Source organism: Homo sapiens, chromosome 1, assembly GCF_000001405.40.
Source record: "Homo sapiens chromosome 1, GRCh38.p14 Primary Assembly".
Classification (NCBI taxonomy): domain Eukaryota; kingdom Metazoa; phylum Chordata; class Mammalia; order Primates; family Hominidae; genus Homo; species Homo sapiens.
In genome coordinates this window covers 53,507,682-53,525,848 of record NC_000001.11, presented here as the reverse complement: position 1 = coordinate 53,525,848, position 18,167 = coordinate 53,507,682, and the positions used below count along the sequence as shown (strand labels likewise).

Here is an 18,167-nt window from a genome sequence, read left to right as displayed (position 1 = left end):
CCGGGGAGGAGGTGGAGGATGCGAGGAGAGCTTGGAGAGGAGGTGACGTGGCTGCGGGAGAGCTGAGGAGGTGCTCGTGGTGGGAGGTGTAGGGCCTGCGGTGCCGGGAGATGGCCTGTAGGGCACCAGGGAGCCACCAAGGGGTTTCAAAGGCAAGAGCGGGTCTGTGAGAAAGACCTTCCCCTCTGGCTGTGTGTGGGGAGCCTGAGGCCTGGAGGGCAGGGTGGGGCCTGGGCAGGAATTCAGGAGGGGCAGTGGGGATGGATTTGGGGTCCACTTCTTATATTCTGGGTGAGCCATGGGGGCCTGAGGGGAAGAGACTTGTCCACTCCCCATGCACAGGGCACAGCCCCCAGCCCCGCCAGACTCCCCAGCCTCCCCAGCCTCCCCAGCCCTGTGTTCTCAGATCCAGCCGTGCTTCCAGCCTCTCACAGCTATTGGCAGGAGGACCTGGTTTCTTGTGGCCCCAAGAGCAGTCCGGTGCCTCTGCACCTACCTGCAAGGTGCGGTCAGTGCCGCCTAGCCTGGCCCTGTGTGGGTGCCCCCTTCCCCTCTCCTCCTCCCCATCTGCAGAGCAGCTGTCTGACTGCACTCCCTGTCTGCTCAATGCTTACTTGCAGCTGTGGGGTCCAAAGGGTGGACTTGGCTCAGAGCCAGGGTCTGACCTGGAAGAACCCTTAGACCTCAGATGGCCCCATTTTTCAGAGAAGAAAGGTGAGACTCAGAGAGGAGAGGCAACTGACCTGAGGTCCCAGGATGGTGGTGGAATGAAGACACAAACCCCTTGCTCCGCTCCCAGGCCAGGCACCTTCCCCACAGCTGGGCCGGGCTGGCTGAGGCAGAGTACTCTTGGCCTGCAGCCAGCCTCTCGCCTGGTCACCTCCCCACAGCAGGTCACGCGGAGGCGCGTGTCCCGTAGGGATGGGCCTCACTCACCCCACCCGTGCCCCCCATGTTACAGAAGCCGTACGCCTGTCAGATCCCTGGCTGCTCCAAGCGCTACACAGACCCCAGCTCCCTCCGCAAGCACGTCAAGGCCCATTCAGCCAAAGAGCAGCAGGTGCGTAAGAAGGTAAGCCAGCCCTCCTCATCTGGCCTCCTCCCACCTCGCAGCCGCCTGCACCGCATCAGGCCAGGTGCCCACCCTCAACACATGCATCTGCCCACCCACTCGCCCTGTATGCCACTGTTCGTCCATCCGTTCGTCCGTTCGTCCGTCCGTCCACTTCCCACCTGCCCTTAGTGTCTCTGCTGACCCGCAGCCCTTCCTTCCACACCCCCAGCTGGCCCTTTACCACCCACAGACTGCCCACCAGCTCCTCGCCCCATGCATCTGTGCACCTCCCGCGGCTTGTGTGGTAAACACATGATGTCCAGCCTTGTGCTGGGCACGGAAGATGCAGAAATGAAAAAGCACGTCCCCGCTTTCAGTGTCCTGGCAGGCGACAGCAGACACAAAGAGATGATTCTACCTCATGTCATTAAGATGGCGAGAGAGATGTGCAGAGAAAAGTCAGGGCACAGATGAGGGGACCTTAGCCCCTCTGGGTGGGAGCAGGAAGGTCTGTGGAGGAAGTGGCGTCAGGCATGGGTGCAGTGTTTAGGGGTGTGAGCGCGGAGTGGGCCCGCGGGGCTTGCTTCCGCTGGCTCTGCACCCAGGCACGTACGTGCCTTTGGGCTTCAGGTTCCTCAGCCATCAGAGGGGACAAAAAAGGACTTGCTTTAGACAGCTGCGGTCAGGAGTAAATGACGGTTTATGCTGAGGGTTTAGAACTGTACCTGGCACAAATTTAAAAGTTCAAAACAGAAATTGGTGTATGTGTTCATTGGTCTTGAGGAAGGACTAAGAGTTGGGCCGGTGAATTCAGAAGAACGCTCCCCAGAGTGACTGGCGCTGAGAGGGCTGAAGCCTGAAGCCCAGTGTGTGCAGGATCAGCGGCCAAGCAGCGCAGTGAGGAGAGGTGGTGTGGGCAGGGCTATGTCCAGGGCACAGTGGGTGCCATCGAGAGGTCTTAAGCAGAGCAGGGACATGGCACCTTGAGAGGTAACCCTGAGGGCCATGTAGAAAATGGGTTGGGGATGCTGTTTTGGACGAGCCGTGTGTGAGTTCCTGAGGGGACTGGGCCATGGCAGGAGGGACAGGACTGCAGCTGGGGGCAGAGCCCACCTGGCTGGGTTAACTCACACCTGCACTCCCATGGAACTCCAGGGCCAGGGAGTGAGGGTCCTTGAGCGCCAGGGAGGGTGTGGGAGTGAAAGAAACACCAGGGGCCAACTCAGGGACACTGGCATGACAGAGGAGGACAGAGTGGGAAGATCGCATTTATTGGTTCAACCAGATTTACAGAGCACCTACTGTATTCCAAGCATTGTTCTGTGAACTGTGGACACTGCCAGGAATGAAACAGCAGAGGCCTGCAGGCTGGAGGAAGCAGCTGCCTCAGGCCCTGGGATAGGGAGACAGCGATGGGGTGCTGGGAGCAAGGGGCCTCAGTGGGAAAGAAGATGGGAGGGGACCGCCAGGCTTGGGAAGTTGGTCTCCAGCCTGCAGGCAGTGGGGAGCATTGGAAGCTGTGGAGCAGAGAGGGACGTGGTCAAATCCTGCGCCATGAGCTTTCTGGTGAAACACCACCTCCATGTTCCCTGAGGAGGGAGGGGATGTGCTTTAGCCCAGGTGCCTCTGAGGCTCAGGCACTGTACCTGGGGCTTCATATCCTGTATCTCATTTAGGCTTCACTATAGCCCTAGCTCGCCAGCTACTCGGAAGGCTGAGGTGGGAGGATCATTTGAGCCCAGGAGTTGGACTGCACACCAGCCTGAGTGACAGAGCAAGACCCTGTCTCAAAAAAAAAAAAAAAAAAAGAAAGAAAAGAAAAGAAAAAGAAACTACAACCGTAGGTGTGGGCACTGTAATTCCCATTTTATTTTATTTTTAGAAACAAAGTCTCACTCTGTCACCCAGGCTGGAATACAGTGGCACGATCATGGCTCATGGCAGCCTCCAACTCCTGGGCTCAAGTGATCCTCCTGCCTCAGCCTCCTGAGTAGCTGGGACTACAGGCATGCTTACTGCTCCTGGCTTTTTTTTAATATATTTTTTTTGTAGAGATAGAGGTTTCACTTTGTTGTCCAGGCTGGTTTCAAACTCCTGACTTCAAGTAATCCTTCCACCTTGGCCTCCCAAAATGTGGGGATTAGAGTCATGAAACACTCATTTTAGAGATGGAGAAACTAAGGCTCAGAGAGTTAACAAACCAGCCCAGCATCATGCACCCCAGAAGTGCCAGAGCCAGGGTCCATCCCAGACCTGTCTGCTTCCAGGGCCTGAGCTCCGTTCACTGCTCTCAGGTTGAGGGCCTGAGTGGGGACAGGGAATGGCCCAGGCTCTAGCAGACTGGAGCTCCACACCAGGGAGGCTTCTGTCCCAAGCGGACCAGTGCCTGAGGACCAGAATCCTGTCCTGGCTTTCCCAGGCCCCATGCTTGGCTCGCACTGAGCCCCCGGGGACTTGGGGCCACAGATCTGCAAACTTCCCAACAATAAGCATCCATTAAGAGCCATCAGGGATGATGTATCTTTCTGGGTAAAGCGACCCTTGTATTATGACAAGTCCTTGGCAGCCCTGCCGCGTTTCAGAGAAAATTAGAAATGCTTTTCTTCCTTAATTCTCCTCTCCTGCTGCTCCTAATCCGATCGACATTGCGGTCTACAAGAACATGCCTTGGCTCTCTTTTGCCAGAAACTTAATTTACATGGAAAACAGCTGCTGGGTCAGGGAGCCAAGAGCCCATCTCGAGGCTGGGCTTGCCTTCTCCAAGCCTGGGCCTGGCCCTGCTGTCTTAGGAGGGCAGAAAAGCCCTCAGGGCTGACTCTCAGCTGCTGTGTGATGTGGGGCAGGGCTCTCACCCTCTCTGGGTCTGTTTTGTCCTGGGGAAGATGAGCATTTGGCTGAGCCAAGCTTTGGGATTTCCCTGAGAGAAGGGGCCCTTCCCAGGTGCCTGCCCCAGTCATCATCCAGTGTCCTGAAGGCCTCACCCTGTTCCCATCCTGGCTCTGGAAGATGTTCTGAGGTGACTGTCTGGGGACAGCCAAGGGTTGTTGGCCAAAGATTTGCTTGGGTTACTGGGTGCACCCCAGCCCAGGCTCACCCTTAGCCAAGGGACCTCAAGTCTATATACTGATCCATCGTGCCCATGATGGGGTGACCAGATGGGGCTCGGCCAGCTGGAGCTCTGCCACCCCTACTACAGCACTTCCAAAGCATGCCCCCAGCCATCGTCACTCTGTGTCATTACTCCTCATGGCAGCCTGGGGTGAGGCGTGACTGTTGCTGCTTATTACAGGCTGGGTAGGCAAGACCCAGAGAGGTTATGTTATTTGTCCAGCATTACACAGGGAGTAAGAAGAGGTAGGATGGGATCCGAGCCCAGCTCTTCATCCCTAGCCCTGAACTATTTCCACTGAACCTTGTACCAAGAAGGAAGAAAGAAAGAGCTGGGTGGGGGGTTGGGGGAGGCTGACGGCACACCTATTGCGCTTTATTCCTACCGCGTCCATTCACCGGTGCGGCTGCACAGAACGCACCTGCAGAACTCAGCTACCCATCGGAGACCACACCTCCCACAGGTTGCTCCCAGCAATGACTGAGTGTGGCAGGCCCAGCAGGGACACTGAGGCAGAGTCTTCCTAGGAGGCACTGGACTCCCTGACATCCAGCAGACATTGGCTGCTGAGGACTCCCTGAGTCCCTGTCCCGGAGGCTCCCGCTTGACCCCTTCTCCCTGCCTCCTTCTCTCAGTCCTTGGGCTCTCCCAGCCCATCTAGTTCACAGATGGCACGTCTCCCATTTAAATCCTTGCATGTTGAATCCCATCTTGGCATCTGCTTCTCAAAGGACCTGGACTAACAACATCTTCACGATGTACACAGTCAGCCCATTTCACAGATGGGGAACTGAGGCACAGTGAAGGGAAGGGTCTTGCCCTGGGGCTGCAGTCCTTTCTGCCCTGTCCCCTAACGTGAGGGTTGCTGGTGGGCAGGGGTCTCACACTAACACCTCCTTTCCCTCTGCTTGCTCCCCAGCTGCATGCGGGCCCTGACACCGAGGCCGACGTCCTGACCGAGTGTCTGGTCCTGCAGCAGCTCCACACGTCCACACAGCTGGCTGCCAGCGACGGCAAGGGTGGCTGTGGCCTGGGCCAGGAGCTGCTCCCAGGTACGTGTGCGGGGAGGCAGGGCCAGGGGCGTAGCCCAGGAGGGGCCTTTCTCTGCCCACAGTCAAGGACAAGTGATGCTCAGTGGGCCGCCCACATGGGCATGACATGTTGCAGGCACTCACTCATCTGGACTTGGTTGCCTCTGCCTCTGGTTCCCTACTTCCAATCCATCTTCTCCCTGCAGCTCGTCTAACTAGGTGGACGTTTCCTTCACATTATTCTGTGGCTCCCCATTGCTCAGGGCATGAAGCCCTCACCCGTCTCAGCCTGGCCTTCAAGGTGTATGGGGCCTGGGTCCTCCTGGCAGCTCTTGCCTCCTCCTTGGCATGTTGGATGCAGTTCCCTGAACACTCTCTGCTCCTGCTCCCCCCGACCCCCGGACACTGTCCACACCCAGCCAGCCCTCTTCTCCTACCCTTCATGACGGTAGCTCCTGCCCTTCCTTCAGGACCCACCTCCTTGTCCCCTCCTCCAGGAAGTCTTCCTCTGGGCTTCGCTCTGCCCCAGTGCTGAGCACTCTGAGCTGTCACTCTACTTCCCATCTGCCCATCTGTCTCCCCCACCAGACTGTGAGTTCCTCAAGGGAGGCTCAGGGTCTGCCTCATTCTGGAGTCACCAGCACCCAGGATGGGGACATGCAGAGCTGGGCTGGGGGAACCCATGGCCCTGCCCCAAGCATCAGCAAGAGAGGCTCTGGTGCCCTTGGTGATGGCCCATGCTGCCAGGATCATCCGCAGGGAGGAACCGTCTTCAAGAAGAGCCCATTCTGCTCCTGGCCTTGACTCCTGCTCCAGAGGAGAAAACTGAGGCTCTGAGAGGATAGGAACTTAGCCCAGATCACTTCCAGCTCATCGCTAAACTCTGTGGCCCAGAGATGGGGCCCCCAGAGCCCCTGGGACTCTGCGGGCCCCTCCAACCAGATGCTAAGGGCCTTTGGTCCAGCTGAGGTGGCTTGTCTGTCCCTCCCAGCAGCCGTGGGCCACGGGGCAGGTCTCAGGCCGCAGCAGGAATTCCTGGCTTTGTGGCTTAGGCATCCAGCCCAGATAAGGGCAGCGTGGCCTTTGGATTCCAGCTGACAGTCCTTGCGCTCTACCCCCGACTCCCCTAAAGAAACCACAGTATCAGAACAGACTTTCTGCCCACCCTCTGGGATTTCTTGAATTACTCCAACCATTTTCAACATTTTTTGTTTTCTAATTTTTTATTCTTTCCCCTCAATGTTGAAGTAGCAACAGATTTAAAAATATATCAAAGCACTTGCCAAACAGCCTCAGGAAGAAAAGCCTTTTAGCCTTTCTCATGGGTCCCCCTTTCCAGGGGTTTGTGCTCAGGCAGGTCCACAAGGGCGAGGACACAGGCGGATGGATGCCTGGGGGAGGGTCTGCACCCTCCTCACGTCTAGCTAGAGGACCCCTCTGTGTGGCTGCTTCTCATAGGGTCAGAATTGCTAAAATGGCAGGGCTGGAAGGGACCGGGGGGCTCATCCAACCCAGGGACGAAGGTATCTCAAGTGCCAGCTCCTAACAAATGGTCATGACAGTGACTACTTGGAGCTCTGTGTCGAGAAGGCCTTGGAAGCTGCTTCCTGATTCAGCCAGAAAGAAAGCTGTTGTGGAGGAGCAGTGCTGCCCCCAGGGCAAAGGTCTTGTACCTACCCCGTCAGTTTTACCTTGGGAAGACTCAGGCCTGGGCAGGAGAAGGAATCACCTAAGGTCATCCAGAGAAGTCAGCAGCCAGTCCAGGCTGCAAGCCTGTTCTCCCAGATGCCGGCCTCAGGCTTGTCCCAGCGAGAAGGGACAGGGCCAGCAGTTACCATCTCTTGAGCACCTGCTTGGGCCACTGACTTCACAAATATCCTCTCGTTCAATCCCCAACTACGCTGTGCAGTAGGATGTGAAACCCATGCTACCGATGAGAAACAGAATCAGCTGAGTCCTCATCATCACAGATTGGAGGAGCCACTCCTGCTGAAGCTACTGCCCTTGTTCTGTGACAATAAGTGGTATCTTCCCTGCTTTGAGCCTCACTTTCCCTCCCAGGCACTGAGGGATCTCATCTGCTGTGAGAACAAATGTGATCATGGATGCGGTCACTTACATAAACCCTATGTGACTGATCATCTTACTGTTATTGTTTATGGTGAGCAAGAAGAATGACTATGTACTCGTCCACCTTACAATCATGCACAGCCAGCACATATTGACTGTGTGCCAGGTGCTGCTCCAGGGACTGTGCGTGGACATCACTGCCATCATCCTCACGTCGGCCTCAGAAGGCACACGCAAGCCACAGCTAGCAGGTGGCAGAGGCAGGATTGGAACCCAGACCATCTGTGCAGGCTGTCTTCTTAACCAGAGCCCGCACCTCCCTGCTGCTAGTGCTGCTCCTCTGCTATACTGAGCACCTGCTGTCTGCCAGGCCCGGTGCTGGCCCTGTCCTCGAGCTGCTTCCAGTGCAGCGGGGAGGGCAGGACCAGGCAGGTGAAGCCCGGGGTCCTGGATCCCCTAGGATCCGGCCTGCTGGGTTCTTCTGCAGGCCGCAGGGCAGATGGCTGAGAAGGGAACAGATGTTAGGGCCAGAGGTTAAGCGCTCACGGCTGATGATTGATGACACAGCTTTACAGCCTGAAGTGGTGCGTTTTGGGGAGAGCCCATCAGGCCCCGTGGCGTCCCCACTTCCGCTGCCCCTCGCAGTCCCATGGTTCCTTCATTCCCATCTGCTGTTCGCTGACATGGTCAGCATCTCTAGTTCACACACTCGGTCACCCACCCTGTGTCCGTCCTTGGTGTGGAGGCTGGACAGGCCGGGACCTGGCCCCGGGGCAGGGGCAAGGGCAGGGGACTGAGTCAGGGAGGATTAGCAGAGTCCAGAACAGAGGGGAGAGGGTGAGGGACGAGCTGCAGAGGGAGACACCAAATTTCCATTGTCCAATTGCAGGATGCTCCCTCAAGTAGGGACCAGTTCTCTTCTGCACAGGAGACCCCCCACCCAACCCCTGGGAGCTTATCTGCCAGGCCCATCCTGAGCAGATCCAGGGTAATGTGATGGGCAGTGAGGACTTGAGAAGCATGAGGTCAGCGTGGCTGAGGAAGAAGGTGCAGGATTGATCAGGATTCTAAGCCTTCCCAGCTGTCAGGCCCCCAAATTGGTTCAAGATGGCAGGCGAAGAGGTGCTAAGGAGAGTAGTGAGTGGCTCAAAGTGTGGGCAGCTCCTCGCCAGGCTCCCTCCACAAACACCGCTTGAGGCACCTTCCCCCAAGCTGGGGAGGTAGGCAGTGGCTGGACAGACAGGTGGTGCTAGGCCTGGGAGCAGAGTCCTAGAGGCAGGGAGCGGTAAGGACGGTGGCCCAGAGCCCCTGGGTCTCACAGCAGCCAGCAGTGATGCCTGCACCAGAGCCGAGGCCTCAGCTGGGTATCCAGACCATCACCTGAGCTGGAGCCACTCCTAGCCCTGGCCTCAAGTGGACTTTCTCTCTCTGCTGCTTGGAAGATGGGCCTGATGAGCCGCCTACTCTGTGACTTTGGACAAGTCATTCAACTTGTTAATATTTAGTTTCCTCATCTTAAAATGGAATATATTATGTTCCCCACTGACACTTGTCAAGCTGGTTAAACTAGATAATGTGGAAAGACAGTGTGGCACATAGTATGTTTTTAATTAATGGTAGTTATTTTGATAGTTGAATCTCACATGATGTAATGTAACGTAGGGTGCTTGCAGCTTTAACTCCAGGCCAGGAGTTGCAAACTGTTTGGCCTCATAGGCAAAGGGGCACTTTTCGGTGGTGGTGGTGGTGGTGCTTTGTTTTTTGTTTTTTGTTTTTTTTTTTGAGATGGAGTCGCCCAGGCTGGAGTGTGGTGGCACCATCTCGGCTCACTGCAACCTCCGCGTTTCGGGTTGAAGCCATTCTCCTGCCTCAGCCTCCCAAGTAGCTGGGATTACAGGTGCATGCCACCACGCCCGACTAATTTTTGTATTTTTGGTAGAGACAGGGTTTCGCCATGTTGGCCAGGCTGGTCTCGAATTCATGGCCTTAAGTAATCCTCCCGCCTCGGCCTCCCAAAGTGCGGGGATTACAGGCTTGTTTTTTTTTTTAACGGTTTCCATGTGAAGGTCTTTCTGGGATGTGTGCTCTCCCCTTTGCCACAGGCCCTGCTGCTCCCCTTGTTAATCCGTGCAGTTTCATTTATTTTGCTCCCCGCCATGCTGCCTGAGGCACTGAGCTTGCCGTCCCTGCCACAGCCCTGCTCGGTTCCCTGCAACAGCCTCCTGAATTGCAGGCCTGGGCCAAAGGGGCCAGCCTGGGATGAGCTAGCCTGGGAACCCCAACCAACTGAGAAGGTAAAAGTTTCCCTTACCCCATCCATGAAAGGAGACTGGTGTGTTCTCAGATTGGTCCTTCTGGTGTAATAAGAGCACTGGTCTGGATCCATGGTAACCAGAGTGCTATTCAGCATGTAACAGCTGCCCTGGTGCACACTGGCCAATCAGAATGGACACCACATCAGTGCAGCCCCAGGATAGCCCCCAGGTCACACAGAGTCCATCAGTGCAGCCCCGGGCTAGCCCCCAGGTCACAAAGAGTCCTCCCAGGGCATCTGCTGGATGCATGGATTTCAGAAAAAATGATGTCAATTGCTATCAAAATAAACATGGCCAGATTGAAAAAGGGATGCAAAACTGGCCACTTCCTAGAGAGATGAGCCCCGGAGAAGCCAGAGCGAGGCTGGAGGAGGCCTGGGCTCCATTCTGGGTGTAATGGCCTGGAATGCAGGGGTCAGGTGCATTCTTTTTTTTTTTTTTTTTTTTTTTTTTAGATAAAATAGGGAACATCAAAAACTTACAACTCTTGCCATGTCTTTCTTAGGCTCCAGTCCCAGAGTAGGAGTTTATTTCCTACTCTGATTAGGGTTTCTTGGTGAAGGCATTTTGGGAGTGCTGGGGTCAGTAACTCCAAACCCTAGTTGGGTCCCTGGAGCAAAGTCTGACTCTGACCTAGTGTCCCCCATTGATTTATTAGCCTCCCTGTCTTAACAAGGGTAAGACTTTCGGGGGTAAAAGGTGATAAAAGGTGGCATCACCCTGCAGGTGTCTTCTGAAGGTTTAGAATCTGAGACTAGAATGAGGCTGACTCCTCTCCTCAGTTGGGACCCTTGTTCAGTGTACCGCCCATGCAACCATCCATGGCAGCCCTTCTCAGAGGTCTCCCAGGCCAGCTGCCACTCAGCTAGTGCAGTCATCTCTCTTTGGAAGCCTTCACAGTGGACACCCCGGCTCTGCTTGCATATCTCTGGGGGAGGTAGTTATTCTGTGCAAGGGCAGCCCATTGCCCTGCAGCAGCACTGCCTGTTAGAAGGCACTGCCGAGCCCTGGGCTGCTGTCTACTCTCAAGCTTCTCTCCATTCCTGGGTCTCTGTCTGCTTCGGGGCCACACAGAACAAGCCTCTTCTTTTCCAGGACAGCATCACAGAGATTTGAGGCAGCCTGCCCTATACATGCCCCCATCTCAGAACACACACACACACACACACACACACACACACACACACACATATACACACACACCCTAAGCACCCCACGCCTCTGACAGCCCCTTGCCAGTCCACCTCTGCTATCAGGGTGAGCCCCAGCCCTGGACACAGCCCTTTAGCCAGGGCCTGCAAGGCTGAACTGAGTGGAGTGGGGCCAGCACCTCCCTCACTGGGGCCCCTAAACTTCCAGTGATACAACGTTGTTCATTTTCCCTCTTGTCTTTATTTCTCCATCATCAGGCACACACAGCTCCTGGGCCATCACAACCATCTCTAGGGAGTGGCCAGAGTCCAGTGAGCCTTGTTTGATTCCCTGCAGGTGTGTATCCTGGCTCCATCACCCCCCATAACGGACTTGCATCGGGCCTCCTGCCCCCAGCGCACGACGTACCTTCCAGGCACCACCCGCTGGATGCCACCACCAGTTCCCACCACCATCTGTCCCCTCTGCCCATGGCTGAGAGCACCCGGGATGGGTATGTACACCAGGCCAGTCCTCCTCCAGGGGCAACAAGGGGGGATCTCGGGGGGAGGCAGGGAGAGCAGGTGTCCCGCACTATCTATCTGCTTGTTACTGATAATGAAAATAGCCAACCTTCAGGGAACACTGACTGCAGACTGCATTCCACACACTTTGTGTGCATGATTCCGTTGGTGCCTGCAGTAACTCTGAGTAGACCGTACTGGCTTCTGAATGCCTCACTTCATGCAGCTTCTTCTCCCCACTGGAGGACCCTGGGAAAATGCTGTGGCCCCTCCCAGCGACCCCTGCATTCTGGGCTGCCACACGCAGAATGGAACCCAGGCCTCCTCGGGGCCTCACTCTGGTGTCTCCTTGCCTCATCTGTGCATTTGGGAGCAGACTGCCCACTGCGCGCACTCCACAGACGCTGGTCTGGGCCCCACGCCCACCTCCAGCCACTGCAGCTGGGGCATTGCCCGGCCTGCGGGGGGCTGCCTGGGAGCCTTTACTTCAGGATCACTGTGGAGAGGGGCAGCCTCTTCCTGCACCCAGTGTGGTTCTCATTGTGGCCACTTAATTGACTGGAAATGGTGAATGTGTTAATTGCTGGACCATGATCTGCCAAAATCTGTTTTTCTTGCAAATGAGCAGAGGGAGGCCTCCCAGCCCCACACTCCTGCCCTCCCTGCTGTTTTTTGCTGATCACCTTGTCCCCGCAGGCCTGGCCCCAGCACCTTCCTCCTTCCCTGCCCTTCCTCCTCCTGGCTACAGCCTTGGCCATGGCCTGCCTGCGCCTGGGGCCAGCCTGGCTTCATCGCCACATTTGTGGCCCACTGCTCCTATTATTACTGGGCTCCTCCTGCCATTCATTCACCCATTCATTCGGTGTTCAATTATGGAGCCCCTGTGGGCAGGCCCTGGGCCCAGTGCTGGTGCCTCGATGACTCTGGCCCTGGAGATGCTTACTGTGAGAGGGAGACCTACCACACAGGGGGCCAGTGGTGTGCGGCAAGGAAGCAGAAGGGCTGTGGAGCCCAGAGGAGAGCCCAGTGGGGTGTGGCTGCCAGGAGGGTGTCAGGGAAGGCTTCCTGGAGGAGGTGAGGCTGGAGTTGGATGAGTGGAGAAGCTGGGAGGAAGGAGTAGCAAGAGTGAAGGTAGGCATGGTGAGAGCTTGGGGTGTTCTGGGAAACATGAGTCATTGTGTGGGGTGACGAACTTGGGAGCGATGTCGCCAGGTCCAGATCCCAAGGCCTGGGATGAGACTCGACCTGAAGAGTGTTGAGCAGTGATGTGGTCAGGTTTGGGGATGAGGACGCAGGGCGGCATTGCAGGGGTGGGGTGGACTGTGGGGCGCTGGACAGACAGCATCCCAAGCCAGGGCCTGGTTCAGGCTGGGGAGGGGGAGCCCGGAAGGCAGTGGTGGCACTGGAGGCAGCGGGAGTAGGAAATCCGAGCTGGGCAGGGAGAGGAGGAGGCCTCAGGGATGAGCTGGGGGTCCAGAGGGGCTGCTGACAGGCAGGGGAAGATTGTGGCTGTGAGTGTGAGCAGAGAACCATGAAGAGGCAGCCTGAAGGGGGTGCAAAGGGGGACCCAGAAAACCGGGCCCTCCTTGAGCCTCAGCTGCTGCTTCTGTGAAAGGCATTATAAGGCCCTCCCTGAGGAAGGTGGTGAGGGCCGTACACACGCCTGACACTGTGTGCCTCACCTGGCACAGGCTCTACTACGATGGTCCCCGCCCCCACCCATAGCTGCTCAGGCCACCTGCTCACCCACCAACCAGCCGAAAAACATCTCCAACCAAAGGAAAATAAACCACGAAGGCCGTTCGCTGCTTGGGCCCGTGCACTCTGCTCCGCCTCATTCATCACCTGCCTGCCGCCTGCATAAGTGCCCGTCAAGAATTCTGCAGTGAGAAGCAGAGTGATGACAAGACGGGACCCCCGCCTGCCCACCCCTGCCTGCGGGTAGGAGCCTCGGGTCCAGCTGCAGGAGAGAAGCGTCCTCGTGCCTGACACCAGGCCCAGGCCCAGCGTGAATGGGTTTCTTTTTTCATCCCCTGAGAAGAGAGTGGGGAAAGGGCCTTCAGCCTCCACTTCCTGCCAAAGTCAACAAGGAACGGCCACTCGTGGCTCCCCAGTGGTTTGCTGGGACGTTTAAATAGCTTGACAGAATTATCTGATTCACTCAAAAATATGCTAAGAGGGCCTGACTTCATGACCAAATTTATTTACCCTGGCTCAGAGAAGACGCCGAATAGGGTATTTTTTTTCCCAGCCTTGTGCGAGGTATGAAGCCCTCAGTCTGCCAGGCTAGTGAGGTTTTATATTAATTTTTATAGGTTCCAGTTGAAGCAAAAATATTTGATTTAGGAATCATTTGCATGACTCAGAGGAGGAGCTCCAGAAGATCTTTTTTGCCTTTTAAAGGGTTCAGGTAGAGCAGCATAGCCTCAGGCGTCATGTCTGCTGTGGAGAGAGTTGTGTTCTGTTTAATTTCACCAGCTGTGAAGGTGGCAAATGTGAATTTATGGTGGAGTGAGACAGGAAAAACAAACTTTTGAAAACACATGTTTTTTCCCCTTCATATCTGGTTCATCTTAATCCTGCAATGCTGTTAATCTCTGGGATTTGCAACTGAGAGATTCAGAAACTCATTTATTAGTGTCATTGGTTTTTCACTGTGTGCCATGCCCAGCGCTGGGCACCGGGTGACCGAGAAGGGCCAAGACCTGGCCCTCCCTACAGGGGCTTCAGGAAACCAGGGGAGGGCTGGGTTGTGGGTGCCCAGATGGGATGGGGATAAGGCAGCCACCACACAGCAGGCCTGCAGGAAGGAGGAGCCACTCTCCGGCCAGGCCCCAGCCCAGCTTCAGCCAGAACTGGTCATGAGAACACACAGCTCGTGCACAGCTGTCCACGGTTTCTAGTGCATAGAGGAAGACGCTGTCCCACTTGATCACCCCACAAGACAGGCCTAAAAATAATGATGATGATAATGATAATTTATTCCTGGAGGTGTGATGAGGATTCGTCTCATGAACTTAAAACAGTGACAGGGACCCACAGTGTATCAGTGGCCGGGCCAGGGACCCAGCACCGAGGCCCTGCTTCCCCTGTCCTCAGCGAGCTCACAGTGACGGGGGCCCCACACGTGTGGATGATGACAGCAGACTGGAGGGGCAGTGGAGGGGCTGCCAACGTTGGAGGGAGCAGAGAGGAACTTGGCACAGCACAGATGCGGAGACCCCAGCCTCTCTCCAAATCTGCTTTCCCCATTTCCAGATAGCCCTGCTTCCTTCAGAGAGGCACTGATCTGTTTGTCAATACTTGGTGTCTCAGAGGGTGGGCAAGGGTCACGAGGTCACCTGGAGCTGTGACATTGAATTCGCTGTATATTTTAATGTGGATGGTCCAACAAGCCACAAATCCAGACAAGAAAATGGGGACTCCGAGCTCTCACTATCTCCCTCTTTCTGCCATGTACATAAATGCTTTACAGGCTGGGAGCCTTCAGCCTTGTCCCCAGAGCCCCCAAGCCATTGATCCCAAAGTCATTTTAGCCCCTGTGAACGGGGCCCAGGGGCTTAGGAAGGTAGCATGAGAAGGGAACCTGGCCTGCAGCATCCTGTGGTCCAGGTAGTGGGCCCTCGGGCTGGGCTGGGCTCAGGGCACCTGTGCTGCTCTCAGCCACTGCAGTCTTGTTTCAGAACATGAGTTTCCAGAGTGCACAGTCTAGAGCCTGCATCCCCCTCAGGCTCTGTATGAAGGCAACTGGTGAGCCCCCATCACAGGAGGTATGCAAGTGGAGGAGAGATGGCCAGGGCTGGAAACGGAAGGTTCCTCAGAGTACACTGTGCAGGAAAAAAATGCCGACTTGGCCATGGGACCGACTTGCTAGTTTTTCTTCCCTTCCTCTTCATAATGATGATGATGATTGATGGAGTGGCTAAGAATGTATTGGACATCACACTTTGTCTATATTGCTTTAATGTCACCCTCACCATAACCCCTGAGATGTTGTGTGGCTGGGAGTAACTTGGGCAAAGCTCTCTGAGCCTTGGTTTTCTGGTCTGTGAAAAGGACACAAGAACACCTGTCTCCCAGGACCTGGGGCAAGTCAGGGGCTCAGTGAATGCTGACTGTGAGTGCCATGGGCTGCTCCAGGGCTCCTCGTCCAGGTGGCCAGAGTGGCATGCACGAGGCAGAGAGCCGGGCACCCAGCAGGTAATGAACACTGCAGCGTGCCCGGTGGTGAGCCAGCAGCCCGTCCAGGAAACCAGGGCTCAGAGACATTGAGCAGCTTGCCCAAAATAGTTGGCCAACGGAGCAATTAGGGGTTTGAACACAGTTCTCTCAGCTGGAAAGGTTGTGCCTCTTACCTGTGTTTCTTGCTGACTATCCTAAATACCAGACTCCAAAGCTTACAGGATTGAAAAGTTTGGCTTGAACATGACCAAAAATAAAAGCTCCTCTTCTAACTATTGTAAGTCGGAGCAGGTCAGCTGGTGAGTGGGCTCCCCGTCGCTGGAGGGGTGTAAGCCGCAGCAGCCCTGCCTCTGGCCCCCACCCTCCAGACCCCTGCCTGCTGATGGGCACCTCTGTTCTCTCCAGGTTGGGGCCCGGCCTCCTCTCACCAATAGTCAGCCCCCTGAAGGGGCTGGGGCCACCGCCGCTGCCCCCATCCTCTCAGAGCCATTCTCCGGGGGGCCAGCCCTTCCCCACACTCCCCAGCAAGCCGTCCTACCCACCCTTCCAGAGCCCTCCACCCCCGCCTCTGCCCAGCCCACAAGGTAAGCTCTGGCCAGGGGCCCGCTCCGTATAACCCCCCAATTCCCACTTAGGGACCCCAGAGGAACGAGGAGACAGTGACCTAGTGGGGGAGGCAGGTACTCAGAGAATGACCGGCTGGGCACTGGGGGCTGAGAGAAGCTAGGAGACAGGGGACATAAGAGGCCCAGCTGAGGGCACAGCCTGGACAAAACTGGTTCTGAGAGTGAGGAAGAGTGTGTTCTGGACAAGGCAGCAAAGGCCCGCTGCCCTGAGGAGAGGCCAGTGAGCGGGATTGAGCGCCTGAGAGTGGAGGGAGTAGGCATCAGCCACGGGTGACTCAGGAGCAGCCACGTGAGACCATCTCAGCCACCCCTCGCCTGCCCTCCCCTCCCTGCAGGGCGGAGCTGAGAATGGGGCCCCAGCCTCCTGCACCTCCTCTGCCCTGGGCCCTCCTCTCTCTCTCACACCCACAATGCCTGGACAGGACAACACGGGAGGTGGAGCGTGCAGCAAGGATGTTCCCCTCCCTGCCCTGGGCACTTCTCCTTTGTGAACGCGGCCCCTGCTACCCCCGTCTGCAGGTTACCAGGGCAGTTTCCACTCCATCCAGAGTTGCTTCCCCTATGGCGACTGCTACCGGATGGCTGAACCAGCAGCCGGTGGGGACGGACTGGTCGGGGAGACCCACGGTTTCAACCCCCTGCGGCCCAATGGCTACCACAGCCTCAGCACGCCCTTGCCTGCCACAGGTGAGCCCTGCCTGCGTGGCTCCCAGTCCTGGGCACCTGCCGAGGCTCAACCCAGTGCTGGGTGCTGCATACGTGCTGTCCTGCAGCCTTTGGATGCTTATGTGGTGGGGCCATCCCCACTTTACAGAGGGGGAAGTAGAGGCTCAGAGAGGTCCCAGGACCCCGCAGAACTGTCTGTACCTGCCTGACTGGAAAGTGCATGCTCCTTGCACAGCTTTGCGAGCCTTATGTGTGTCTGAATGCTGGCAGGTTTCTGAAGAATCGGACTGGGAGCTCATGGTTTAATTACTGCTTCACTTTATTTATTGAGCACCTACTGTGTGCCAGGCATAGCTGCAGACCCTGGGGATATAGCAGGGAATGAACAAATCCTGCTCTCCCTTTGGCAGCACAGGAGATTAGGCGGGGACAGAACCTGGAGGTCATGCTGTTCCTTCCCCACTTAGGTACCTGGTGTTGCCCTGCAGGGCCCTGGGCCTCCCCAGCTCTGCCCCAGGCTTGGCTAGAGAAGCCCAGGGAGAGGGGAGGGTGCCCGCAGCCCAGGTGGAACCAGGCTCCGATCAGCAGGGCAGGCCTAGTCAGAGCAGGGGCATCAGAAGGGAGGGGCTAGACCCTCCCTGAATTCCTCCAGCTGAGACCCACCCTCAAAACAGCCTCGGGGCCCAGGTCTAACAGGAGGTTTCCAGGGCTCCAACAAAGGGGAACCTGAGACCCGCCCCAGAGGCCCTTGGGGCAGCTTTGAGGTAGTGAGCGGGAGGGTGGAGGGACAGGTATATAGGGACAAGCACTGAGGCCTCAGCCGGGCACATACCACCCTGTGGGTCCACGTCCACACACCTGCGCCCGTGCCAGGTGTCTGCGTGTGCCCGTGCTTGCGGGGCTTGCACAGGTGGCTCTGGGCAGCATGCGCCCCGTGAGTGTCAGGAGCTGGCAGGGCTGCACTCTCGTGTCTGCACATGTATTACCCCAGGTGTATGTGGATGTCCGTGAACCCCATCTGTGTGCACATTGTGTCACCCACCCCACGACTCATGGCTGTTTCCACAGACGTGTGCTTGTGTGCACGTGTGCACCTGTGTTTGAGGATTGTGCCCACAGGCCCGTGGGTAAACGTGTGCCGTGTCCACGCGGGATAGACGTGTGTGCATGGCCCCCTGCGTGACATGGGGCTCACATGGAAGACGGGTGCTCTGTGTCTGTGTATACCCGAATTGAGGTGCCCAGCACTGTGGGCTCTCCCCATCTTGTCCTCCCCACCCCCATCCAGCCCACATGGGATTTCTCAGCTGAGCAGCAAGGCTTAGAATGAATAGCTCTGAATGGAGCAGGAGGCAGCTTCCACACCCCACCCCGGCCCTACACCGGCCAGGGGAGGTTCTTTCAGCCTCCCCTCTCCCCAGTGCCCACTCCAGGCCCGCTCAGCTGCCTTTCTGTGCAC

At 56.7% G+C, this 18,167-nt stretch overlaps 1 protein-coding gene across 10 annotated transcripts in view; it reads left to right on the top strand.

Annotated features, from left to right (window-relative positions):
- The window catches only part of GLIS1 (GLIS family zinc finger 1), a 232,926-nt gene that overhangs the window by 213,316 nt on the left and 1,443 nt on the right, over nt 1-18,167 (top strand). For 4 of the 10 annotated variants that reach the window (NM_001367484.1, NM_001390836.1, NM_001390837.1 and 1 more), the window contains 5 exons: nt 962-1,072; nt 5,083-5,215; nt 11,068-11,224; nt 15,822-16,000; nt 16,562-16,729. In NM_001367484.1, coding sequence (NP_001354413.1) covers nt 962-1,072; nt 5,083-5,215; nt 11,068-11,224; nt 15,822-16,000; nt 16,562-16,729 — 748 coding nt within the window. Of the gene's footprint in view, nt 1-961; nt 1,073-5,082; nt 5,216-11,067; nt 11,225-12,925; nt 15,698-15,821; nt 16,001-16,561; nt 16,730-18,167 lie in introns of those variants that run through there. The other 6 variants (XM_017000409.2, XM_047447071.1, XM_047447086.1 and 3 more) reach the window with 4 other exon arrangements.